Source organism: Homo sapiens, chromosome 9 (genome assembly GCF_000001405.40).
Source record: "Homo sapiens chromosome 9, GRCh38.p14 Primary Assembly".
In the NCBI taxonomy this organism is placed as follows: domain Eukaryota; kingdom Metazoa; phylum Chordata; class Mammalia; order Primates; family Hominidae; genus Homo; species Homo sapiens.
Window position 1 is genome coordinate 32,706,542 of NC_000009.12, and position 27,615 is coordinate 32,734,156.

Consider the following 27,615-nt stretch of genomic DNA (forward strand, 5'->3'; position numbering starts at 1 on the left):
TCAATCCTGAGCTAGTTAGGTTCGTCTATACTCTGCCCGAGGCTTGGAGTGCCTCCAGAGAAGTCAGTCACTGAATTCCAAAGGGGATGAGGGGAAGGACTCCAGTCAGGCACTTGGTCAAGCTGAGCTGGGCATGTCATAGCCTCACATCCTGATATCTTTGAAGTTAATAGGGATAGCCAAGAAAACTACCAAATAAAGCAAAGAAGGGCACAGCCTTGTGGGACTATGGAAAGGAGACCCTGATCAAGAGGCAACAGAAGCAAAGCCATTAAAGTGGCCCCACACCTACAAGCACGCTGCTGCCAGTCCACGCCATGCCCAGTTCCCCCAAACACACCTGCTCCCTGGCGCCGCTGACTCACTGACACTTGCCATTCCCTTTCACTGGGAGGCCCTCTGCCCTGCTCATTGCATGGCTAATTCCTACTCACTGCTTGTGACTGGCCTCAGCTTTAATGCCACTTCTTCCAAGAAGATTTCCCTGATTCTCTGCGATCTGGGAACCTCCTGTATACTTCCTAGGAACACCCTACATTTCCCCCATCCAGGTGCTTACCAGATGCATGATAATTGCCTATATATTTGTGAGTGTCACCAGAGCATGAATCCTCCGAGACAATGCCTGGGACATAGTAGGTACTCTGATTGTCTTCTGAATGAATGAAAATTAAAGACATGCCTTAAGTCCCTGAGAAGGCCCATTACACCACAGGGATACACTTTCCTGGCAATTCATCTAGCCTCAAAAGCCCATAGCAATAAAAGGCTGCTTTTGAGAGAGCTGAGAAGGAGGGAGGAGCACATGCAAACAACTAAACACCTACCACCTGCATGAGGACACAGGGATGAAACAGAAAAGGTCTTCTCACTGCAGAAACTCAGTCTGATGAGGGAGACTATTAGGCTTACAATAGCAAGGACAGATTGCTTCGGTACAAAGCTGGAATGGGGACAAATGTGAAAACCAAACTGAGTGATGCCTTTGCTTACGTACTAATCTTATTGCTCAGAACGACTCACGAGACAAAGATACTCACGAGACAAAGATTTCAGGAGAAAATGTTCATGAGAACTTTGGTAGCTATATTTGTAAGGTAATTGACAGTCAACAAAATTCTTTCATATATATCATTTTATTTCATCTTATTCATGTATCAAATATTTGAGGGTGCTTATCTGTACTACACTTAACATCTAGTGTTAGGAAGGCTGGGAGAATTAAAAAGTGACTGTCTTCAAGGAGCTTGGAGTCAAGTTGGGAGACACAGGCAACCTCAATTCAAGGCAGAGAGATGAAAGTCAGGTAAGTCACGGTTGTTTGAGTTGTAAAAGAGTCACTCTGGCTTAACTAAAAAAGGAAATGTTTTTCTCACATAATTTAAATGTTACCAGAAAGGGGTCTCTGGTTCAAATGCCTCTGATAAAAATGCCCAGGAATATCTTTAAAGCCCAGGTTTAGCTTTATCCAGCAGCCTGAATAATGTCCACCAGCCACTTCTCTAATCTCTTGGCTTTGCCTTGGCTGGGCCGACATCACTCTCAGGCTCCACATGGCAGCCACTCACAGCTTCAGGCCCATAGTTTCCAAGGCCCGAATTGACCTGAAAATAGAGCTTCTCTTCTCTGACAGGTTCTAACGAAAGACCAGGGCCTTATTATCCCTGGCCTGGGTGATGATCATGAGCCTACCAATGAGCCATGGGAATGGAATTAGAGTATTGTAACCCTAGGCCATGTCCCCAAACCTTGCCCAGCTCCAAAGCTGGTGTGGGGTCAGGCCCTCCCAAACTGCATGGGCTGTGTAGCAAAGTGTCATTAAAAACAGTCTGGTAATTGGCCATGTACAGTGGTTCATGCCCGTAATCCCAGTGCTTTGGGAGACCGAGGCAGGAGGATCTCTTGAGCCCAGGAGTTTAAGACTAGACTGGGCAACATAGCAAGACCCTGTCTCTATACAATACATTTTTTTACTTAGATATGGTAGCATGCATCTATAGTCCCAGCTATTCAGGAGGTGGAGATGAGAGGATCACTTGAGCCCAGTAGTTTGAGGTTACAATGAGCTATAATCATGCCACTGCACTCCAGTCTGGGAGACAGAGCTATTAGGCTGGTGCAAAAGTAATTGCGGTTTTTGCAACTACTTTTAATTGCCAGAACTGCAATTACTTTTGCACCAGCCAAATAGAACTTGTCTCAAAAAAAAAAAAAAACCACCAAAAGAAAAAAAAACCCAATAAAATGCTTGACAATTAGTCCTCAGGCTAGCTTTGTGTTTCCATTCATTTTACAAGTGAGGAAAATGATACCAATAAGAGCAAACGCAGGACTAAAGCCTGGTCTTCTGACTCAGTCCTATGCTCCTCCCATCAGTGCTTGCCTGATAATAATTATTAGCACTTAATTATAATAGCAATTAATTATTAATAATAGGGGAAGTGCTTAGGGCACTGCTGGAATTCGGAGTGGGACACTTCTTCCTTGTGTGGGACTGTCCCTAGCATTACAAATGTTTCATTACATTCATGGCTCTAATACCAGTGACACTTGCTTCCCAGCATTGTAACAACTAAAATGCTTGCACACACTTTCAAAGGTCCCCTTAGGAAGACAGCACCTCCCCTATTTGAGAAAAACTGTATGTTATCACAAGTGAACCCTGTTAGCAAGAGGTTCATACTTCTTGGAGTTTAAACATAAGCTCTAACCTCTCGCTTTAGAGATAGTCTGAGCTTTTGATTGAATATGCCTTGGAGATCATCAGGCCCAAATCCCTGGGCCGGTAGTTCTGGCTTGGAGGAGAAGGGGTAAGCGAGGGTGAGAGGGAAGAAGATGGGCTGGGAATGCATCCCTGAAAGGTGAGTATGAAGGGTTGCAGGTGGGAGGTTTCAGCTTCCCATTAGTGCTCCTCTTACTCAAAAGTGAAATCACAGAATTAATGCATTTTTTATAGTCAGGATTCAAGCTATTTCTTAGGGGAGAGGGTGTTTGTCCTCCCTTACTTGAGTAAGATAAGAAATTACAGAATTGTGGGGAAGTAGAATGCTCAATTCTGCACAATACTCACGAAGAGAGATGTTGCCAAACTGACCTGCACTCCGGTGGAGCAAACAGGGTATGTGGGAATTTAAAACCAGGTCGTCACATGAAGCACATTCCATAGAACAGGCAAACCTATGCCTGGCAAAATACTCAAAGCGAGACAAGAAATTTGCCTTCTAAGATACTGAAGACATCACCTAGGAGTAGACTTGGAATTACTCTACATATCCCAAAGGGACAAAACCAGTTCTAATAGGACCTGAAAACAGCTGGCCCATGAGAGATATCTAATAATAGAATGAGCCATCTGGGAAGACAGTGAGTTGCCCACTGCTGGAGGCATCCAAGCACACATTGAGATGTTGAAGTGGGTTTAAACTTAGTCTCTCAAACATTCTGAAGCAACACAAGATGGATGCAGTTTAAGTGCTCCACACATTGCTAACAGACCGTGTCAGAGGCGTGTGAACCAGAGCAACAGCATCTTGAAGAGGAGCCGGGTAAAATGAGGCTGAAACCTACTGGGCTGCATTCCTAGATGATGAAGGCATTGTAAGCCACAGGATGAGATAGGAGGTCAGCACAAGATACAGGTCATAAAGACCTTGCTGATAAAACAGTTTGCAGTAAAGGAGCCAGCCAAAATCCACCCAAACCAAGATGGCGACAAGAAGGCGACGAGAGTGACCTCTGGTTGTTTTCACTGCCACACTCTCACCAGTGCCATGACAGTTTACAGATGCCATGGCAACATCAGGAAGTTACCCTCTATGGTCTAAAATGGGGAGGCATGGGAGGAGCCAAGATGGCCGAATAGGAAGAGCTCCGGTCTACAGCTCCCAGCGTGAGCGACGCAGAAGACAGATGATTTCTGCATTTCCATCTGAGGTACCGGGTTCATCTTACTAGGGAGTGCCAGACAGTGGGCGCAGGTCAGTGGGTGCGTGCACGGTTCGTGAGCCGAAGCAGGGCGAGGCATTGCCTCACTTGGGAAGCGCAAGGGGTCAGGGAGCTCCCTTTCCGAGTCAAAGAAAGGGGTGACGGCCGCACCTGGAAAATTGGGTCACTCCCACCCGAATATTGTGCTTTTCGGACCGGCTTAAAAAACGGTGCACCAAGAGATTATATCCCGCACCTGGCTCGGAGGGTCCTACGCCCAAGGAGTCTCGCTGACTGCTAGCACAGCAGTCTGAGATCAAACTGCAAGGCGGCAGCGAGGCTGGGGGAGGGGCGCCCGCCATTGCCCAGGCTCGCTTAGGTAAACAAAGCAGCCGGGAAGCTCGAACTGGGTGGAGCCCACCACAGCTCAAGGAGGCCTGCCTGCCTCTGTAGGCTCCACCTCTGGGGGCAGGGCACAGACAAACAAAAAGACAGCAGTAACCTCTGCAGACTTAAACGTCCCTGTCTGACAGCTTTGAAGAGAGCAGTAGTTCTCCCAGCATGCAGCTGGAGATCTGAGAACGGGCAGACTGCCTCCTCAAGTGGGTCCCTGATCCCTCACCCCTGAGCAGCCTAACTGGGAGGCACCCCCCAGCAGGGGCACACTGACACCTCACATGGCAGGGTATTCCAACAGACCTGCAGCTGAGGGTCCTGTCTGTTAGAAGGAAAACTAACAAACAGAAAGGACATCCACACCAAAAACCCATCTGTACATCACCATCATCAAAGACCAAAAGTAGATAAAACCACAAAGATGGGGAAAAAACAGAATAGAAAAACTGGAAACTCTAAAACGCAGAGCGCCTCTCCTCCTCCAAAGGAACACAGTTCCTCACCAGCAATGGAACAAAGCTGGATGGAGAATGACTTTGACAAGCTGAGAGAAGGCGGCTTCAGACGATCAAATTACTCTGAGCTACGGGAGGACATTCAAACCAAAGGCAAAGAAGTTGAAAACTTTGAAAAAAAATTTAGAAGAATGTATAACTAGAATAACCAATACAGAGAAGTGCTTAAAGGAGCTGATGGAGCTGAAAACCAAGGCTCGAGAACTACGTGAAGAATGCAGAAGCCTCAGGAGCCGATGCGATCAACTGGAAGAAAGGGTATCAGCGATGGAAGATGAAATGAATGAAATGAAGCGAGAAGGGAAGTTTAGAGAAAAAAGAATAAAAAGAAATGAGCAAAGCCTCCAAGAAATATGGGACTATGTGAAAAGACCAAATCTATGTCTGATTAGTGTACCTGAAAGTGATGGAGAGAATGGAACCAAGTTGGAAAACACTCTGCAGGATATTATCCAGGAGAACTTCCCCAATCTACCAAGGCAGGCCAATGTTGAGATTCAGGAAATACAGAGAACGCCACAAAGATACTCCTCGAGAAGAGCAACTCCAAGACACATAATTGTCAGATTCACCAAAGTTGAAATGAAGGAAAAAATGTTAAGGGCAGCCAGAGAGAAAGGTCGGGTTACCCTCAAAGGGAAGCCCATCAGACTAACTGCGGATCTCTCGGCAGAAATCCTACAAGCCAGAAGAGAGTGGGGGCCGATATTCAACATTCTTAAAGACAAGAATTTTCAACCCAGAATTTCATATCCAGCCAAACTAAGCTTCATAAGCGAAGGAGAAATAAAATCCTTTACAGACAAGCAAATGCTGAGAGATTTTGTCACCACCAGGCCTGCCCTAAAAGAGCTCCTGAAGGAAGTGCTAAACATGGAAAGGAACAACTGGTACCAGCCACTGCAAAATCATGCCAAAATGTAAAGACCATCGAGACTAGGAAGAAACTGCATCAACTAACGAGCAAAATCACCAGCTAACATCATCATGACAGGATCAAATTCACACATAACAATATTAACTTTAAATGTAAATGGACTAAATGCTCCAATTAAAAGACACAGAGTGGCAAATTGGATAAAGAGTCAAGACCCATCAGTGTGCTGTATTCAGGAACCCCATCTCACGTGCAGAGACACACATAGGCTCAAAATAAAAGGATGGAGGAAGATCTACCAAGCAAATGGAAAACAAAAAAAGGCAGGGGTTGCAATCCTAGTCTCTGACAAAACAGACTTTAAACCAACAAAGATCAAAAGAGACAAAGAAGGCCATTACATAATGGTTAAGGGATCAATTCAACAAGAAGAGCTAACTATCCTAAATATATATGCACCCAATACAGGAGCACCCAGATTCATAAAGCAAGTCCTGAGTGACCTACAAAGGGACTTAGACTCCCACACATTAATAATGGGAGACTTTAACACCCCACTGTCAACATTAGGCAGATCAACGAGACAGAAAGTCAACAAGGATACCCAGGAATTGAACTCAGCTCTAAACCAAGCAGACCTAATAGACATCTACAGAACTCTCCACCCCAAATCAACAGAATATACATTCTTTTCAGCACCACACCACACCTATTCCAAAATTGACCACATACTTGGAAGTAAAGCTCTCCTCAGCAAATGTAAAAGAACAGAGATTATAACAAACTATCTCTCAGACCACAGTGCAATCAAACTAGAACTCAGGATTAAGAATCTCACTCAAAACCGCTCAACTACATGGAAACTGAACAAACTGGATACATAACGAAGTGAAGGCAGAAATAAAGATGTTCTTTGAAACCAATGAGAACAAAGACACAACACACCAGAATCTCTGGGACGCATTCAAAGCAGTGTGTAGAGGGAAATTTATAGCACTAAATGCCCACAAGAGAAAGCAGGAAAGATCCAAAATTGACACCTAACATCACAATTAAAAGAACTAGAAAAGCAAGAGCAAACACATTCAAAAGCTAGCAGAAGGCAAGAAATAACTAAAATCAGAGCAGAACTGAAGGAAATAGAGACACAAAAAACCCTTCAAAAAATTAATGAATCCAGGAGCTGGGTTTTTGAAAGGATCAACAAAATTGATAGACCGCTAGCAAGACTAATAAAGAAAAAAAGAGAGAAGAATCAAATAGACACAATAAAAAATGATAAAGGGGATATCACCACCGATCCCACAGAAATACAAACTACCATCAGAGAATACTACAAACACCTCTACGCAAATAAACTAGAAAATCTAGAAGAAATGGATAAATTCCTCGACACATACACTCTCCCAAGACTAAACCAGGAAGAAGTTGAATCTCTGAATAGACCAATAACAGGCTCTGAAATTGTGACAATAATCAATAGTTTACCAACCAAAAAGAGTCCAGGACCAGATGGATTCACAGCCGAATTCTACCAGAGGTACAAGGAGGAGCTGGTACCATTCCTTCTGAAACTATTCCAATCAACAGAAAAAGAGGGAATCCTCCCTAACTGATTTTATGAGGCCAGCATCATTCTGATACCAAAGCCGGGCAGAGACACAACAAAAAAAGAGAATTTTAGACCAATATCCTTGATGAACATTGATGCAAAAATCCTCAATAAAATACTGGCAAAACGAATCCAGCAGCACATCAAAAAGCTTATCCACCATGATCAAGTGGGCTTCATCCCTGGGATGCAAGGCTGGTTCAATATACGGAAATCAATAAATGTAATCCAGCATATAAACAGAGCCAAAGACAAAAACCACATGATTATCTCAATAGATGCAGAAAAAGCCTTTGACAAAATTCAACAACCCTTCATGCTAAAAACTCTCAATAAATTAGGTATTCATGGGACGTATTTCAAAATAATAAGAGCTATATATGACAAACCCACAGCCAATATCATACTGAATGGGCAAAAACTGGAAGCATTTCTTTTGAAAACTGGCACAAGACAGGGATGCCCTCTCTCACCACTCCTATTCAATATAGTGCTGGAGTTTCTGGCCAGGGCAATCAGGCAGGAGAAGGAAATAAAGGGTATTCAATTAGGAAAAGAGGAAGTCAAATTGTCCCTGTTTGCAGACGACATGATTGTATATCTAGAAAGCCCCATTGTCTCAGCCCAAAATCTCCTTAAGCTGATAAGCAACTTCAGCAAAGTCTCAGGATACAAAATCAATGTACAAAAATCACAAACATTCTTATACACCAACAACGGACAAACAGAGAGCAAAATCATGAGTGAACTCCCATTCACAATTGCTTCAAAGAGAGTAAAATACCTAGGAATCCAACTTACAAGGGATGTGAAGGACCTCTTCAAGGAGAACTACAAACCACTGCTCAAGGAAATAAAAGAGGATACAAACAAATGGAAGAACATTCCATGCTCATGGGTAGGAAGAATCAATATCGTGAAAATGGCCATACTGCCCAAGATAATTTACAGATTCAGTGCTATCCCCATAAAGCTACCAATGACTTTCTTCACAGAATTGGAAAAAACTACTTTAAAGTTCATATGGGACCAAAAAAGAGCCCGCATCGCCATGGCAATCCTAAGCCAAAAGAACAAAGCTGGAGGCATCACACTACCTGACTTCAAACTATACTACAAGGCTACAGTAACCAAAACAGCATGGTACTGGTACCAAAACAGAGATATAGATCAATGCAACAGAACAGAGCCCTCAGAAATAACGCCGCATATCTACAACTATCTGATCTTTGACAAACCTGAGAAAAACAAGCAATGGGGAAAGGATTCCCTATTTAATAAATGTGCTGGGAAAACTGGCTAGCCATATGTAGAAAGCTGAAACTGGATGCCTTCCTTACACCTCATATAAAAATCAATTCAAGATGGATTAAAGACTTAAACGTTAGACCTAAAACCATAAAAACCCTAGAAGAAAACCTAGGCATTACCATTCAGGACATAGGCATGGGCAAGGACTTCATGTCCAAAACACCAAAAGCAATGGCAACAAAAGACAAAATTGACAAATGAGATCTAATTAAACTAAAGAGCTTCTGCACAGCAAAAGAAACTACCATCAGAGTGAACAGGCAACCTACAGAATGGGAGAAAATTTTCGCAACCTACTCATCTGACAAAGGGCTAATATCCAGAATCTATAATGAACTCAAACAAATTTACAAGAAAAAAACAAACAACCCCATCAAAAAGTGGGCGAAGGACATGAACAGACACTTCTCAAAAGAAGACTTTTATGCAGCCAAAAAACACATGAAAAAATGCTCATCATCACTGGCCATCAGAGAAATGCAAATCAAAACCACAATGAGATATCATCTCACACCAGTTAGAATGGCAATCATTAAAAAGTCAGGAAACAACAGGTGCTGGAGAGGATGTGGAGAAATAGGAACACTTTTACACTGTTGGTGGGACTGTAAACTAGTTCAACCATTGTGGAAGTCAGTGTGGCGATTCCTCAGGGATCTAGAACTAGAAATACCATTTGACCCAGCCATCCCATTACTGGGTATATACCCAAAGGGCTATAAGTCATGCTCCTATAAAGACACATGCACACGTATGTTTATTGCAGCACTATTCACAATAGCAAAGACTTGGAACCAAGCCAAATGTCCAACAACGATAGACTGGATTAAGAAAATGTGGCACATATACACCATGGAATACTATGCAGCCATAAAAAATGATGAGTTCATGTCCTTTGTAGGGACATGGATGAAATTGGAAATCATCATTCTCAGTAAACTATCGCAAGAACAAAAAACCAAACACCGCATATTCTCACTCATAGGTGGGAATTGAACAATGAGATCACATGGACACAGGAAGGGGAATATCACATTCCAGGGACTGTGGTGGGGTGGGGGGAGGGGGGAGGGATAGCACTGGGAGATATACCTAATGCTAGATGACAAGTTAGTGGGTGCAGCGCACCAGCATGGCACATGTATACATATGTAACTAACCTGCACAATGTGCACATGTACCCTAAAACAAAATATGATAAAAAAATAAAAAATAAAACAGTAAAATAAAATGGGGAGGCATGAATAATCCACCCCTTGTTTAGCATATCATCAAGAAATAACCATAAAAATGGATAACCAGCAGCCTTTGGGCTGCTCTGTCTATGGAGTAGCCATTCTTTTATTCCTTTACTTTCTCAATAAACTTGCTTTCACTTTATTCCATGGACTTGCACCAAGTTCTTGCACAAAATCCAAGAACTGTCTCTTGGGGTCTGGATCTGGACCCTTTCCTGTAACAACCACATACAGATAATAGTTTGTGAACTATGTTCAATTTCTATTAGAGTAACTGTAAGGCAAGACCTCTTTCTGCTGCACTCAAAAAACCTGCCGGAATATGCATGTGGGGGACATTATTGTAGGGTAATTTTGAATCTGCCCTAATTGACAAAGAAAAAATGGAAACCTCTAACAAACTTTCATACTCTATTGATAACGCAGTACTTTTAACAAAACAAGTAGTCACCTGGTTAAGAACTGCCAGCCTAAGAGGTTGTGACCACTAAAATTTGTCCAACCAGAAGTGGAGTCTACAAAACTCTACAGGCTAGCGTGCCTAGAGCATGCTCAGTAATCCACCCCCAAAATCTCAGCCACGTGGCATTTACCTTTGTGTTTCTGACTATCCCATGGGCAATCAGAGGTCCACAGACAACCAAAGGTTAAAATGAGATGGATGTTACATGTCACACACTGCCTGGGGGAGTGCTTGCAAGTTGCACAAAGCAACTGGAACTTCACTATGTCACTCCCTCATCTGAACTACTTGCTGAGACAGCTCTTTTTGTAAAGGGTCATTTCTGTCCGGCAGCTGAGCTCTGGGACAGAAATGATGTTTGGCAATACCAGCCTCTAGCAATGAAGCCAACTTTAAATCAGAAATGCTGTGAGAGTGTGGGATGCCAGATTGTGTTTTACAGAGGCTGGAAAGCTCCAATCTTGCCTGGCAAGGCTGTCAGAAGGATCTCTCCAACTCTTTGGTTTTCACAGCCTCTGGAGCTGAGCTAGCTGCTCACTACACATTTTCATGACCATCGAGTCCCTGTGAATGGAAGTGTTCTATTTCATACTGTGGGTTTTGGTGTGAATTCTAGATCGCAGCTTAGGTTAAACTACAAAACATGGGTGTTTCTGTGGGACACCAGAGGCACTGGAGATAATTTGGGTGAATACACAGAAATCTGTGGAAGAGTAGGATTTGGTCTTTGTCAAACGGTCTAGAGTGGCTGTGCCTTGTTCTTTATCTTATAAAGAAATCAATGCATACTTTACTGCCACCAACGCCCCTTCCTTCATATCACCAAAGTCATTCTTCTACTATTCAGAAAAAAGGGATATTGTTGCTGCTTAGTTGTAAGGGTTCATGGCAGCAAACATTCTTCAGAAGAGATCTATAACTTTCTGGATGCTGCTGCCCCCGTCTCGTTGCTATGGTTAGAGTACATGCTGCTTCTGTCTTCTAACCTTCTTACGCAGCACTGTGGCCATCACTCATTGGTACTATTCATGCTCCTGCAAATTAAAGCACAGGTGCTGCCCTCCTCTCAGGGTGCTTCCTATAAAACTGAGCAAAATGAGTATTCATCCTGATGCATTCAAAAAATATTTACTGAACACTGATATGTGCTTGTCTGGTATCTCAAGCTGATTTGCTTTATCTGAAAAGCGTCTAGTTTACAGATGGATTAGCTTTCCCTTGTATTATTTGCCAAATATTCTAAATAAATAATATAAAGGCAGAGATGCTGTAAAAATTATAAAAATGAAGGTGTCATATCTCAGGATTCTATAGTCAGCCCTTTATCCTTTCTCTTCTCACTCTACACTCCTCCTTGGAATGTAAAATACCCTTTAATGATTATAATTAGCCCCTAAAGTCTCTATCATCAGTCCATACATGACTGCTGAATTTCATACCTATATGTGCAACTACTAACCAGTCATCTTCAGAAGTCAGGCAAGAAATTAGATTCATGACATTCCCAAACCAGAATTCATCGTTTGGCAAAGCTCCCACCCCCCCTTCTCCACCCCTCTCCTCCACCGCTTTCCCTCCCAAATCACCTGCTTCCCTCCATGGGCTCCAGGTTTTAGCTGGTGGCACCGCCCATCAGAAACACTGCTGTCCCATTGGATTCCTTTTCCTTCACCCTCCACATTAAATCAGAGAACAAATCCCACTGATTGAACCTCTCAAAGAGTCCTCACAACTCTTTTTTCCCTTTCTTTCCTGCAGCCACCACTGAGGCCTCCGCGCCTCTCACTTGGACTATTTTTCTGATTGGTATCCTCGCCTGCAGTTTAACAGCCTCCAACCAGAAGTGGAGGTTCTGTCCGTGGGATCTAAAACACGACTCTGATCGTGTCACCACCACCCTACGAAAATGCTTCAAGTTTTCCTCATCATCTGGGAAATAAAATCCAGCATCCTTAGAGGGTTCAGATCCTCCCACTCCCCCTGCATTGAACCTGCACTTTAGGCTTACCCAACCCTAGTAATTAGTAGCATCCTATTTCTTGTTGCCATATCTTTGCCTTTGTTTCCACTGCCTGAAATCTTTCCCCACTTCATCCATCTCATAACTTCTTATAATTCAAATAATTCTTATTTGTGCTTTAAAACTCACTCACAGGCAGCCTCTTCCTGGAAGCCTTTTCTGACTTACCTGCTCCTTGTTGTTTCTGCATCTTATATGCCAATTTTCTATTGTTCTATTTTGTTTTGTTTTGCTTTGTTTTTATATGAGACAGGGTCCTGCTCTGTTGCCCAGGCTGGAGTGCAGTGGCACGAGCTCAGCCTCAACCTCCTGGGGCTCAAGCAATCCTCCCACCTTGGCCTCCCTAGTAGTTGGGACTACAGGCACATACCAGTACACCTGGCTAATTTTATTTTTTGTAAAGACGATGTCTCACCATGTGGCCCAGGGTGCTCAAACTCCTGGGAGCAATCCTCCGGGATTATAGGTGTGTGCCACCACACCCAGCCTTCTATTGTTCTTATCCCCCAATTGTCACTGGGGATCCCCTATTACACCATGAGCTTCCTGAGGGCAAGGATTATTTCTCTCTGCCTCCTCTGTTCTGGGTACTGTGCCTGGCACATGGTACAAGCAAATGAGTCTTTGTAGGTATAAATAGATAGATGCTCTCAACTAGACTCCAAAGTGTGTGTGTGTTGGGCGGGGGTGGTGGGCGGGAGAAAGAGAAAAAGAGAGGACAGAAGGGAGGGAGAGGGATTTAAAAAAAAAATCAACAGTTTTTCTAGTTCTTTAAAAATGGAGGCTTAGATTCACCTCTGAGGGAACATTGTTTCTTGTGTCTGGAAAACTTTAATGACCCCTTATGCAAACATGAGGCTATCATCTTCAATTGCAATGGAAAGTTTTTAGAGGCAATCAGGGCTCAACTGCTCTGCATGGAACGTAAGGGTAGTCTTTATTGATGATACAGAGGCATTCCCAGGATTACTATACTACTGGGAGACTGGCGGTAGACTGAGATGAGGAGAAATGGAGTGTTCCCCTGGGTGTTAGTGGAGTGGGGCTCTGGATCTGTGATAGGCAGGAACTCGTAAAAGCACTCCTATTGTAGGGAAGCAAATGAGCCCCTGCAAGGCCTCAGGCTGGTTGTGAGGGGATCCAGCACCAGGAGGTGTTCCCTGTGGAAGAGCATGACCAGAGGACCAGAGAAAAGACACACGTGGTGTCCAGTTTTACGGCACCCTGACTGTGTCATTCCTCCTGTTACCCCATTCTTCAGTAAAGCTTTTTTAAATGTACCAGCCCCATCTTGGTTGAGATTTGGGTAATTAATACAGCAACCAGTGTCCACTGTCACTGAATCAACACAAAGACTACCAATGTAGTCTCAAATTGAAGCTGAGTTTATTACGCACCAGGCAAAGGAGAATTAAGTTTCTTTCTTTTTCCTTTTTTTTTTTTTTTTTGCTGTTTAAATGATTTATTTTATTTTAAAAATCATTTATTTCTTTAAATTTTATTTTATTTTTTAAGTTCCGGGATATATGTGCAGGATGTGCAGGTTTGTTGCACAGGTAAATGTGTGCCATGGTGGTTTGCTGCACCTGTCAACCCATCACCTATGTATTAAGCCCTGCATACATTAGCTATTTATCCTAGACAATCAAGTTTCTTAAGAAAAGTCAGTGAGTGTTCCCCAAACTGAAAGTGAAAAGAGTAGATACAGTATGGAGAAGGGGAAGTTCTTCCCAAGTTTCTGAATGGTTCAAAATGGATCATAAAACCTCTTTTTACTTTTGTTACTTTTCTGGTTTTGAATCATCAAGATGCAGGTGTGGTTCTCAAACAGGTCCAGAATGGGCTGCATAAGGCTGTAGAGATCTCAGTGTCATGCAGTGGGCAAATGTGAATGGGGATGCCGGAGGCTTGGTAAAAATTGTTTTAACATTCTTGTTTGGATAAAACAGTGCCCAGGTCATTTATAACAGTCTGAGTTTTAACACAGATAAAAAGTTACTACAGTTAGAGGCCTGATGTCAGGCCAAGGTGACAAGCAACAACCTGGGTGAATTTTGAAATGTGTAAGGTTCCTGAGAAGTTCCCAGGGTACCCTGGAGAGGCTATCTTGGTAGAATACTAGTAGCTCAGATGTTGGATATTTGGCTATTAAAGGACTCCTGAGCCCAGAACATCTAGGGCTGTTGGGGTTATATGACTACCATCACCCCCAAAATGAAATCGCCTTTCAACTCAGTTGTTCTCTACAACTAGGAATACTGACTCTTACTTTTGTTTCAGTTAAACTCAGGGAAAGCATCACATCAGAGTTAGAGGTGGGAAATTAGATCTATTCTGCACCGACAATAGCACTCCGCATTACACACCAAAACACACAGATGATAGTTTTGTCTATTTAAGCAATATAAGGCTCCTACTAATTTTTTTTAGAAATTGTTATCAATTCCTTTTTATGAAAAATTACCACTGAGGTATTGTTCCTTTTTTTCCAGCACAGTTGAAATTGTACGTGGTAGGGAAGTTTTTAATTAGTCCATTCTGAGCAGGAACGGTGTGTGCTCACTGCAGTAGGAGCCTAATAAATTACTTCATAATCTCAATTGGAGGCTTTGTGTCTGAAAATACTCATTAGTTTGCACCAGCAGCCGTCAGCTTCCCATGAAAGGTCTTAGAACCATGCTGCAGTAGGTTTAGATCAAGTTGCTTGGAGCAGAACTTCTGGGGCGGTGAAAACAAACAGGCCATACAGATCTCAGCTGCAGGGTCTGGGGATAAAACAACTTGGAAACTCCATGTCAGCCCCTTCTGCCCATGCCACACTTTCCTGCTTACAAAGCTCTTCTTCCACCCCGAAAAAGCTTTTCCATCTTCAAATCATTCCAGTGACCCCCTTTTTTGAAGTGTGGATAAATCTAAAGCCTAGGAAATACATGTTGCAGACTAGTGAGAAAATGTTTATACTGTCCTATTTAGACAGACAGATAAATAGAGACAGAGTTGGATGGATAGATGGATGGATGGATGGATGGATGGATCAGGTGATGGATGGATGCAAACAAACAGACATTTAAAATGGGAGGGTAAAAATGTTATTAGCCCAGCTGGTAAAATAATTCCTCTCGGAGGGAACACGGTATGTGGATACGTTGGTAAGTCACCCAGATTAGGTAAGGGTAAGACCCCAAGATGCATGGTCTTATGATAAAAGATGGTCTCTAAACTGCTAAGGAGAGACAGTCTTGCTGATTTCAAAGTTCTGTAAGTGTCATGTCTTGGCGGTTTGGACGATTGCTGAGGTAGAGCTGTTCTGCAAAATAAAGGGATGAGAATTTGCAACTAGGAATGGAGGATGCAGGGAGAGAGGTATGAATCAATAAAGTGAGGTTTTGTACACAAGAAAAGAAAGATGGAAAATTTCATACCTTAGCAGAGTAGGCAAGCTGAGATGTCTAAGGTGACTTTGAAGTTATTTCCTGTAGGATGTACGTAAGTAAACTCCTCCTTCCACCTGCCCTAGAAAACTGTTTCCCAGAAGTGGATCCCAAGCCCATGTGCAGGGGGTTTATTAAGGTGTGCTCCCAAGGGAGATGAGTGAAGGAGTGGGGAAAACAAGACAGAGAAGGATAAAAAGTCAAACAAAAGTTCGATCACAGTCAAGACCTTCGGTCTGATCATATCAGGGAAGTCAAGAGTGTGAGTTACACCTTAGAGTTGTCCCAACCAGAGGTAAGAGAGCTGGGCTTTCATATAGTCACACTAGCATGGGCCAACGATGAGGAGGGGAGGGGAATAAATTCCTAAGCACTTCCCGCTCCCTTTTATAGAGGAAAGGGGGCTCCAATAGCCTGAGGGCAGCCCTCTGAAGACGAGTTGCAGATGCTGATTGTGAGAAGCCACACGGGCAGGGGCAGAGCACAAGACAGTAAAAGTAGAGCTGAGATCTGATACAGCACTGACACTGTCACTATGAAACCCTCTAATAGAGTGTACATTTGCTCATCAATGCTTCCGTATGAGTCAGTCCTTCACGGTAATCAAAGAGAAACTGACATATGCATCCAGGTCACATCTGCACGGAGTAAAAGCAGAGCCTGTGCTTCCACGTGCAGAGAATGGAGAACATCTGTCATCTGGGTCCATGTACTTTTGGAACAAACCTCACTCACAAGTACATTGAAATATACTATGTATACTAGCAAGGCTATACTGCTGATGCTGCACTGAAATGGAATTTCTGTTATCAAAACTCGATTTCTATATGGGAGGCACATGTATTCACATCTGTGTTCATTTCTGCTAATAAAACGCCCATGCTCCTCACTGCATCTAACACAGTCGAGCATTCCAGGTCCCCACAATCCAACTCCATTTCTTGAATCAGCTTTTTCTCGGCCAGACTCCTGCCATGTGCTGCTCCTCATCCACACGCTGTGTCCTGCACGGTAGCCACCAACTAAACAACATGCACCACACTCAGAGCTAATATGGGTTATGGGTGTCTCTTAATCCTAACAATAACTCCATGTCTTAGATGCTATTTTACTTAACAGTTGAGAAAACTGCAGTCTGATGAGGTAAAGTCCAAGTTCTCTAAGTAAGAAGTGGAGCTGGCATTTGGAGTTAATGCTTTCAGCTGCTGCACTGCTCTGCCTCCGTGGACACGGTCCCCTCCTTCCAAAACCCCTTCCCCATGTCAGAATGTCAATACCCTACCATCATCCAAGGCCTTGTTCAAATGCCATATTCTCCACAAAGCCTTTAAATCAGGCAGAGTTCTTAGAGGAAAGGGACAGAAATCTAACGTATGTAAAAGAAAATGTATTAGTTTCAGTGGTTGGAAAGAATACTGGGGTGGCCTACATGTTCCGAGGGATGGCTGCGGGAACCCTAGGGATTAATGCAACTAGAATTTTCTCTCTAACTCTTTCATTTTACATTATCTCCCCCAGCCCAACAGGCTCAGAAGTATAAGACACCCTCCCCCTTCTCTGTCATTGTTCATTTATCATCCCAGGAAAGACTCTGATGAGCCCTGTTTGGGTCATGTGCTTATCCCTGCCCTAACCACAGAGCCCAAGGGAATAGAGTATTATCATTAGCCAGGCCAAGGAGGCTGGATTGTTACACGAGAAAGCAGGTGGGAGGAAAACATTCCAGGCAGTTCACAGCACTTGCTCCCACAGTTCATTACATTGTCCATGAACACCCAGATAGAATCACTCTGTTCCAGTTTCTCTGCCATAAAGCAACTATTTATTGTGCTCATAGATTCTGTGGATCAGGAATGCGGGTGGGACACAGTGGGGATGGCTTGTCCCTGCTCCACAGTGTCTGGGGCCTGAGACAAAAGACTCTAGGCTGAGGCTGGATTCATCTGAAGACTCACTCTCCGTGCCTGGCAGTCGATGCTGGCTATCGGCTTGTAGCCTCCGTTCCTTTCCACATGCGCCTCTCCATGTGGTCTCGCTGTACAAGATGGTTGGGCTTTCTCACAGCAAGGTGGCTACGTTCTGAGGCTGAACATCTTAAGAGAGAGAGAATGCGTGCCGTGTGAGAACTGTATTGCCTCTTTTAATTTAGCCTTACCAGTTCTGCTGCATTTATTTGGCTGGAGCTTCCCAAGCCTGCCCAGGTTCAACGGCAGGGGAAATAGATTCCACTTCTTAATGAAGAATGGCAAAGTTCTACAGAAATTTTGCTGTAGACATTTTCAGAAAATACAGACTGCCACACATTTTTTCCTATGAATTCTTTCGTGTATGTTTTCCATATCTTCCCTAAATTACTATGAGTGCTGTGAGATAGTCATCTTTGTATTTCTATGCAGTGCCTTGTACAGGACCTTATACACAATCAAGCTTCAAAATATGTTGGTTGGCAAAATGCCTCTGACAGCAGCATCCCAATTTTTCTACCAACAATTTTTTTTCTTTTTTTTTTTTTGAGACAGTCTGTTGCCAGGCTGGAGTGCAGTGGCACAATCTCAGCTCACTGCAACCTCCACTTCCCAGGTTCAAGTGATAGGAGAATCACTTGATTCTCAGCCTCCCGAGTAGCTGGGACAACAGGCGCGCACCACCATGCCCACCAAATTTTTGTACTTTTAGTAGAGACTGGGTTTTGCCATGTTGGCCAGGATGGTCTCGATCTCTTGACCTCATGATCCGCCTGCCTCAGACTCCCAGAGTGCTGGGATTACAGGCGTGAGCCACTGTGCTGGCCTCTACCAACTATTAATAGCTGTGTGACTATGAGAAAAATTACATAACATTTCTGAGACTGTTTACAAACTGAGAGAGCTTAAGTTTGTGGTTTCTAAATATTCTGATTTAGCAGCAAACGACAAATCACTTTCTTCAAACCACACCTAATATAGAACCTCGGTATGCAAAACAGACTTTTTAAAAAGCAACAGCAAAGATGCTATGGTTGAAGCAGGTAGAAGAGGAGTAGAGAGTGACCCACTTCCCTCTCCCTCCCCCTGGCTACGTGGCTGACCCTGAGACAGCATCATAAAGATGGTAGTCATCTGCTATTTTTAATCTGTCCAGAATGTCTTTTGATAAGAGAAGAGAACCACTACACACAAACACACACACACACACACACACACACACACACTTATAAATTCATATCAAGAACATGGAAGCACATCAAAACCAAAGACAAACCTTGCATTGCAATTAATGTTGACCATGAGATCTGAAGTCTTTGGTAAAGGTGGTTATTCCAGCATCTCAGGGCCAAGAGGAGTCTTAGTGTTGAGTCACCCAGCTAGTCAAGCCAGATGCGTAGCCTCTGTGTGATGCTGCCTCTAATCATTTTCCCTGTACTTATTTCAAAGAGATTTCATAATAGAGGAAGATTACTGCCAAAGCAGATAATTTTGTCTTATTTTGTTTTGAGACAGGGTCTTGCTCTGTTGCCCAAGCTGGAGTACAGCGGCGTGATCACAGCTCACTGCAACCTCCACCTCCCAGGCTCGAGCGATCCTCCTACCTCAGCGTCCCAAGTAGCTGGGACTACAGGCACGCACCACCAAGCCTGGCTAATTTTTGTATTTTTTGTAGAGACAGGGTTTCCCCAGTTGCCCAGGCTAGCCTCGAACTCCTGGGCTCAAGCAATCTGCCTGCCTTGGCCTCCCAAATTGCTGGGATTGCAGGCGTGAGCCACCGCGCCCGGCTGAAGATGATTTTGAAAAGCACAGGAACGCTTGCTCTTTTTCTGCACTTTTCTTCAGTTACCTTTGTGCCTTTTTCATGTGCAAATGATATCAATGAAATATGTGTGTTTTAAATTGAGGCCCTACCACTTGCAGGAATTCCTTTCTCTTTTTCCTGCTGCTTCAACCTGCCTGCAGTCAGACTTCTATGTCACAGTCATATCCAGGAACACAAATAGTGCTTGTTGCCAGAGACCCAGGATGATAATTTTCCCACACAGAACAAGACAGTTTCCAGGGGGATTGCTCTTAGAAAAATATACCTCAAAGTGAACATGAGGAGGAGGAACTATGAGGCAAGAGGGGAGCCCAGAGGCTCAGTTTCCCAGGCCCTCTCGCCCTGGTGTAGAGGCCCCTCCTCACTCATGAAAGAGGACCAGGCAGGGTCCAGCACATAGTAGGCACTTAATAAGAGCCAAGTGAATGAATAAATGGCATGAAACATGCAAGTTTATTCCATTTTAGTGAATTCACATAGGAGTATAATAGTGGAAAATGGAAAATGGTATTTGATCACCTGTTGTCCCAGAGGGGATGCACTTAAGGATTCAGTAATAACTTTCCAAGTACTGTTTCCTAGATTCTGAGCTCATTAATCCTTAGAATCAATGAATGTCAGCATTGGAAGGACCTTACATTCAGAAAATCTCTTTCAAATACCTGCAGTTGGCCCTGAAGGTCTCCAAACTGAGCTTTCCTGAGTGTACTGTGTAATATTAAGAGATAGTATTTGGAGAGAGGACTCCATGGTGAAACACGTTTGGGAAGCCACATAGTAAACAGAGGTAATTAGGTATCTTTCCTGGACAATGTCTCAAAGTCTTTATTGGCTACTGTTCATTGTAAATCTCCAAGGGACAATACAGTGGACAGTGTTTATCAAACATTTTTTTAATGAGAAAATAACTTTATTTCATTTTGGGGAGTGGGCAGACATCCAGTCCCAGAACTTCTGGAATTGCTTCTTGGTGCTGGCAGTCTTGGTGACTTGAGCGTACTGCAGTACAGGGTCTTGCTCGGGGACTAGCACTCACCCACGATGATATGCCAACCTAGACTTCCCTGAAGCAGGAGGACAGGCTCACGGACACATTCTTATGGCACTTCTTGGAGCAACTGTACTTGTACATGTAGCAGAGATAATCCTAGTGGATGACAGTGGTCCTCTCCATCTTCATCTTGGACCCCTCACCAGACAGGATCTGCCTTCAGATGGAGACATTACCAGTGAAGGGACATTTCTTGTCCATATAGGTTCCCTCAATGGCTTCTTTGGGTGTCCTGAAGCCCAGACTGATGTTCTTATAGCACCAGTTTCTCCCAGCAAGTCCCTCTTTTTTTTTTTTTGAGGCGGAGTCTCACTCTGTCACCAGGCTGGAGCGCAGCGGCATAATCTTGGCTCACTGCAACCTCTGCCTCCCGGGTTCAAGCGATTCTCCTGCCTCAGCCTCCTGAGTAGCTGGGACTACAAGCGTGTGCCACCACATCCAGCTAAATTTTGTATTTTTAGTAGAGACAGGGACCCTCTTCTTTTTTGTTTGTTTATTTGTTTGGGTAGATACAAGGTCTCACTATGTTCCCAGGCTGGTCTCAAACTCCTGGGCTCAAGTAATCCTCCTGCCTTGGCCTCCCAAAGTGCTAGGATTACAGGCATGAGCCACCATCCCAGATCTGATTACATTTCAATTCTTCCTGTGAATACATTGGGGGTAATCTATTCTCTTCCCCTTCTTTATCAAGCCCTTACCATTCTAATAATACAGTCCTAAGACTCTGTTATAATATGCCAAGTCTCTCTAAGACATTTAATAAAATACAAATTAAAAATACCAGCAGGATTGTTTTAACTAGTCAAGATGATTCTAATGTTTAGATGGAAGAAGCAACAAACAGAAATAGTGACGAAATAAAGAAGGGGGGAGCTGTCACCACCAGACGTCAAAACATATTATAAAAATATAAGAACTAAAACTGCATAGTACTGTCACATGGCCAAATCAACAGCTCAGTGGGATAGAATATGGATCCAATGTCCAGAAATGGATCCAATATATACAGGCACCTGGAGTCAGGGGGGAAAATATGAGTCATGTAAATGCATAGAACTGGGATATGAGTTAGCCACTGAGACAAAAATAAAGTTAGATCCATACTTAACAGCATCCATTTTTAGGCTTGACATATTATTTGAAACTACTCATACCCAATTACCTTTGGCCTGGTTAAAACTTCCCCTTCCTGTATGGTTGTTTGCGAAATAGCCCACTTGTTCCTCATCTCACCGACCTAAAACTCAACACACCCCACAGCTGCTGACCACAATAAATCCCAATGGTCAACACCAGAGTCATGTAAATGAGGTCCCCCTTCCTGTGTGTTTTCTTTAAATTAGCTAATCCATAAACGTTGTGGGAAAGCCCAAGGAATAACACCCATGGATATTAATAAAAGCACCCACTCCCTAACCATGGTTGAGCTTCCTAGCACCTGCAGACTCCTGTAGGCCTCCTGTCAGTGTCTGTGGCCTCTCTGACCTGTGAGTAATGCATTTCTTCTCTTTCATGCCCTCTGGCTTTACCTCCTCATTGTGTCTCACCCAAACCTAACTTTCTCCCTACTCAGGGCTCTCCTAGAGAGTTCTATCCTTGCTTTTAACCACTCTCAAGAGAGTAACTTCAGGACCAAATTATAAAGAAACCATAACAATAGAAATCACAACCACCAGAATAAATTCCAAATGGACAAAAGATGTAAGCATAAAAACTGATATCATAAAAGTACTGGAAGAAATTATGGAATAATTGTTTTATAATCTTGGAGGGGGAAAAGCCTAATTGCAATAAAAACCCAGAAACCATAAAAGAAAGGAATGATGAACTTGACTAAGAAAAAAGTCAGGGGGAGGAGCCAAGATGGCCGAATAGGAACAGCTCCGGTCTACAGCTCCCAGCGTGAGCGACGCAGAAGACGGGTGATTTCTGCATTTCCATCTGAGGTACCAGGTTCATCTTACTAGGGAGTGCCAGACAGTGGGCGCAGGTCAGTGGGTGTGCGCACCGTGCACGAGCCGAAGCAGGGTGAGGCATTGCCTCATTTGGGAAGCACAAGGGGTCAGGGAGTTCCCTTTCTGAGTCAAAGAAAGGGGTGACGGACGGCACTTGGAAAATCGGGTCACTCCCACCTGAATACTGCGCTTTTCCAACGGGCTTAAAAAACGGCGCACCATGAGATTATATCCCGCACCTGGCTCGGAGGGTCCTACGCCCACGGAGTCTCACTGATTGCTAGCACAGCAGTCTGAGATCAAACGGCAAGGCAGCAGCGAGGCTGGGGGAGGAGTGCCTGCCATTGCCCAGGCTTGATTAGGTAAACAAAGCAGCCGGGAAGCTCGAACTGGGCGGAGCCCACCACAGCTCAAGGAGGCCTGCCTGCTTCTGTAGGCTCCACCTCTGGGGGCAGGGCACAGACAAACAAAAAGACAGCAGTAACCTCTGCAGACTTAAACGTCCCTGTCTGACAGCTTTGAAGAGAGCAGTGGTTCTCCCAGCACGCAGCTGGAGATCTGAGAACGGGCAGACTGCCTCCTCAAGTGGGTCCCTGACCCCTGACCCCCGAGCAGCCTAACTGGGAGGCACCCCCCAGCAGGGGCACACTGACACCTCACATGGCAGGGTATTCCAACAGACCTGCAGCTGAGGGTCCTGTCTGTTAGAAGGAAAACTAACAAACAGAAGGGACATCCACACCAAAAACCCATCTGTACCTCACCATCATCAAAGACCAAAAGTAGATAAAACCACAAAGATGGGGAAAAAACAGAACAGAAAAACTGGAAACTCTAGAAAGCAGAGCGCCTCTCCTCCTCCAAAGGAACGCAGTTCCTCACCAGCAACGGAACAAAGCTGGACGGAGAATGACTTTGACGAACTGAGAGAAGAAGGCTTCAGACGATCAAATAACTCTGAGCTACGGGAGGACATTCAAACCAAAGGCAAAGAAGTTGAAAACTTTGAAAAAAATTTAGAAGAATACATAACTAGAATAACCAATATAGAGAGGTGCTTAAAGGAGCTGATGGAGCTGAAAACCAAGGCTCGAGAACTACGTGAAGAATGCAGAAGCCTCAGGAGCCGATGCGATCAACTGGAAGAAAGGGTATCAGCAATGGAAGATGAAATGAATGAAATGAAGCGAGAAGGGAAGTTTAGAGAAAAAAGAATAAAAAGAAATGAGCAAAGCCTCCAAGAAATATGGGACTATGTGAAAAGACCAAATCTATGTCTGATTGGTGTACCTGAAAGTGATGGGGAGAATGGAACCAAGTTGGAAAACACTCTGCAGGATATTATCCAGGAGAACTTCCCCAATCTAGCAAGGCAGGCCAATGTTGAGATTCAGGAAATACAGAGAACGCCACAAAGATACTCCTCGAGAAGAGCAACTGCAAGACACATAATTGTCAGATTCACCAAAGTTGAAATGAAGGAAAAAATGTTAAGGGCAGCCAGAGAGAAAGGTCGGGTTACCCTCAAAGGGAAGCCCATCAGACTAACAGCGGATCTCTCGGCAGAAACCCTACAAGCCAGAAGAGAGTGGGGGCCGATATTCAACATTCTTAAAGACAAGAATTTTCAACCCAGAATTTCATGTCCAGCCAAACTAAGCTTCATAAGCGAAGGAGAAATAAAATACTTTACAGAGAAGCAAATGTTGAGAGATTTTGTCACCACCAGGCCTGCCCTAAAAGAGCTCCTGAAGGAAGTGCTAAACATGGAAAGGAACAACCGGTACCAGCCGCTGCAAAATCATGCCAAAATGTAAAGACCATCAAGACTAGGAAGAAACTGCATCAACTAACGAGCAAAATAACCAGCTAAATCATCATGACAGGATCAAATTCACACATAACAATATTAACTTTAAATGTAAATGGACTAAATGCTCCAATTAAAAGACACAGACTGACAAATTGGATAAAGAGTCAAGACCCATCAGTGTTCTGTATTCAGGAAACCCATCTCATGTGCAGAGACACACATAGGCTCAAAATAAAAGGATGGAGGAAGGTCTACCAAGCAAATGGAAAACAAAAAAAGGCAGGGGTTGCAATACTAGTCTCTGATAAAACAGACTTTAAACCAACAAAGATCAAAAGAGACAAAAAAGGCCATTACATAATGGTAAAGGGTTCAATTCAACAAGAAGAGCTAACTATCCTAAATATATATGCACCCAATACAGGAGCACCAAGATTCATAAAGCAAGTCCTGAGTGACCTACAAAGAGACTTAGACTCCCATACATTAATAATGGGAGACTTTAACATCCACTGTCAACATTAGACAGGTCAACGAGACAGAAAGTCAACAAGGATATCCAGGAATTGAACTCAGCTCTAAACCAAGCAGACCTAATAGACATCTACAGAACTCTCCACCCCAAATCAACAGAATATACATTCTTTTCAGCACCACACCACACCTATTCCAAAATTGACCACATACTTGGAAGTAAAGCTCTCCTCAGCAAATGTAAAAGAATAGAAATTATAACAAACTATCTCTCAGACCACAGTGGAATCAAACTAGAACTCAGGATTAAGAATCTCACTCAAAACCGCTCAACTACATGGAAACTGAACAACCTGCTCCTGAATGACTACTGGGTACATAACGAAATGAAGGCAGAAATAAAGATGTTCTTTGAAACCAACGAGAACAAAGACACAACATACCAGAATCTCTGGGACGCATTCAAAGCAGTGTGTAGAGGGAAATTTATAGCACTAAATGCCCACAAGAGAAAGCAGGAAAGATCCAAAATTGACACCCTAACATCACAATTAAAAGAACTAGAAAAGCAAGAGCAAACACATTCAAAAGCTAGCAGAAGGCAAGAAATAACTAAAATCAGAGCAGAACTGAAGGAAATAGAGACACAAAAAACCCTTCAAAAAATTAATGAATCCAGGAGCTGGGTTTTTGAAAGGATCAACAAAATTGATAGACCGCTAGCAAGACTAATAAAGAAAAAAAGAGAGAAGAATCTAATAGACGCAATAAAAAATGATAAAGGGGATATCACCACCGATCCCACAGAAATACAAACTACCATCAGAGAATACTACAAACACCTCTACGCAAATAAACTAGAAAATCTAGAAGAAATGGATAAATTCCTCGACACATACACCCTCCCAAGTCTAAACCAGGAAGAAGTTGAATCTCTGAATAGACCAATAACAGGCTCTGAAATTGTGGCAATAATCAATAGCTTACCAACCAAAAAGAGTCCAGGACCAGATGGATTCACAGCTGAATTCTACCAGAGGTACAAGGAGGAACTGGTACCATTCCTTCTGAAACTATTCCAATGAATAGAAAAAGAGGGAATCCTCCCTAACTCATTTTATGAGGCCAGCATCATTCTGATACCAAAGCCGGGCAGAGACACAACAACAAAAGAGAATTTTAGACCAATATCCTTGATGAACATTGATGCAAAAATCCGCAATAAAATACTGGCAAACCGAATCCAGCAGCACATCAAAAAGCTTATCCACCATGATCAAGTGGGCTTCATCCCTGGGATGCAAGGCTGGTTTAATACACGCAAATCAATAAATGTAATCCAGCATATAAACAGAGCCAAAGACAAAAACCACATGATTATCTCAATAGATGCAGAAAAAGCCTTTGACAAAATTCAACAACCCTTCATGCTAAAAACTCTCAATAAATTAGGTATTGATGGGACGTATTTCAAAATAATAAGAGCTATCTATGACAAACCCACAGCCAATATCATACTGAATGGGCAAAAACTGGAAGCATTTCTTTTGAAAACTGGCACAAGACAGGGATGCCCTCTCTCACCACTCCTATTCAATATAGTGTTGGAGGTTCTGGCCAGGGCAATTAGGCAGGAGAAGGAAATAAAGGGTATTCAATTAGGAAAAGAGGAAGTCAAATTGTCCCTGTTTGCAGACGACATGATTGTATATCTAGAAAGCCCCATTGTCTCAGCCCAAAATCTCCTTAAGCTGATAAGCAACTTCAGCAAAGTCTCAGGATACAAAATCAATGTACAAAAATCACAAGCATTCTTATACACCAGCAACAGACAAACAGAGAGCAAAATCATGAGTGAATTCCCATTCACAATTGCTTCAAAGAGAATAAAATACCTAGGAATCCAACTTACAAGGGATGTGAAGGACCTCTTCAAGGAGAACTACAAACCGCTGCTCCAGGAAATAAAAGAGGATACAAGCAAATGGAAGAACGTTCCATGCTCATGGGTAGGAAGAATCAATATCGTGAAAATGGCCATACTGCCCAAGGTAATTTACAGATTCAATGCCATCCCGATCAAGCTACCAATGCCTTTCTTCACAGAATTGGAAAAAACTATTTTAAAGTTCATATGGGACCAAAAAAGAGCCCGCATCGCCAAGTCAATCCTAAGGCAAAAGAACAAAGCTGGAGGCATCACACTACCTGACTTCAAACTATACTACAAGGCTACAGTAACCAAAACAGCATGGTACTGGTACCAAAACAGAGATATAGATCAATGCAACAGAACAGAGCCCTCAGAAATAACGCCGCATATCTACAACTATCTGATCTTTGACAAACCTGAGAAAAACAAGCAATGGGGAAAGGATTCCCTATTTAATAAATGGTGCTGGGAAAACTGGCTAGCCATATGTAGAAAGCTGAAACTGGATCCCTTTCTTACACCTTATACAAAAATCAATTCAAGATGGATTAAAGACTTAAATATTAGACCTAAAACCATAAAAACCCTAGAAGAAAACCTAGGCATTACCATTCAGGACATAGGCATGGGCAAGGACTTCATGTCCAAAACACCAAAAGCAATGGCAACAAACGCCAAAATTGACAAATGGGATCTAATTAAACTAAAGAGCTTCCGCACAGCAAAAGAAACTACCATCAGAGTGAACAGGCAACCTACAAAATGGCAGAAAATTTTCGCAACCTACTCATCTGACAAAGGGCTAATGTCCAG

At 43.2% G+C, this 27,615-nt stretch overlaps 1 long non-coding RNA gene and 1 pseudogene across 5 annotated transcripts in view, besides 1 other annotated feature; both read right to left on the minus strand.

Annotated features, from left to right (window-relative positions):
* The window catches only part of LOC105376017 (uncharacterized), a 104,021-nt gene that overhangs the window by 27,255 nt on the left and 49,151 nt on the right, over positions 1 to 27,615 (minus strand). For 3 of the 5 annotated variants that reach the window (XR_929558.3, XR_929556.3, XR_929557.3), the window contains exon 5: positions 17,587 to 17,880. The exons of the other annotated variants lie outside the window; for them this stretch is intronic. This is a non-coding gene — a long non-coding RNA (uncharacterized LOC105376017). Of the gene's footprint in view, positions 1 to 17,586; positions 17,881 to 27,615 lie in introns of those variants that run through there. 5 annotated transcript variants of the gene reach the window in all.
* RPS11P4 (ribosomal protein S11 pseudogene 4) lies at positions 20,525 to 20,923 on the minus strand (annotated as a pseudogene).
* Positions 22,602 to 23,103: an enhancer, noted in NCBI's record as "H3K4me1 hESC enhancer chr9:32729141-32729642 (GRCh37/hg19 assembly coordinates)". NCBI's record gives its function as "activates a minimal SCP1, AML or CMV promoter by ChIP-STARR-seq in naive H9 embryonic stem cells {active_cell/tissue: H9 hESC(naive)}" and the evidence as "EXISTENCE:reporter gene assay evidence [ECO:0000049][PMID:30033119]".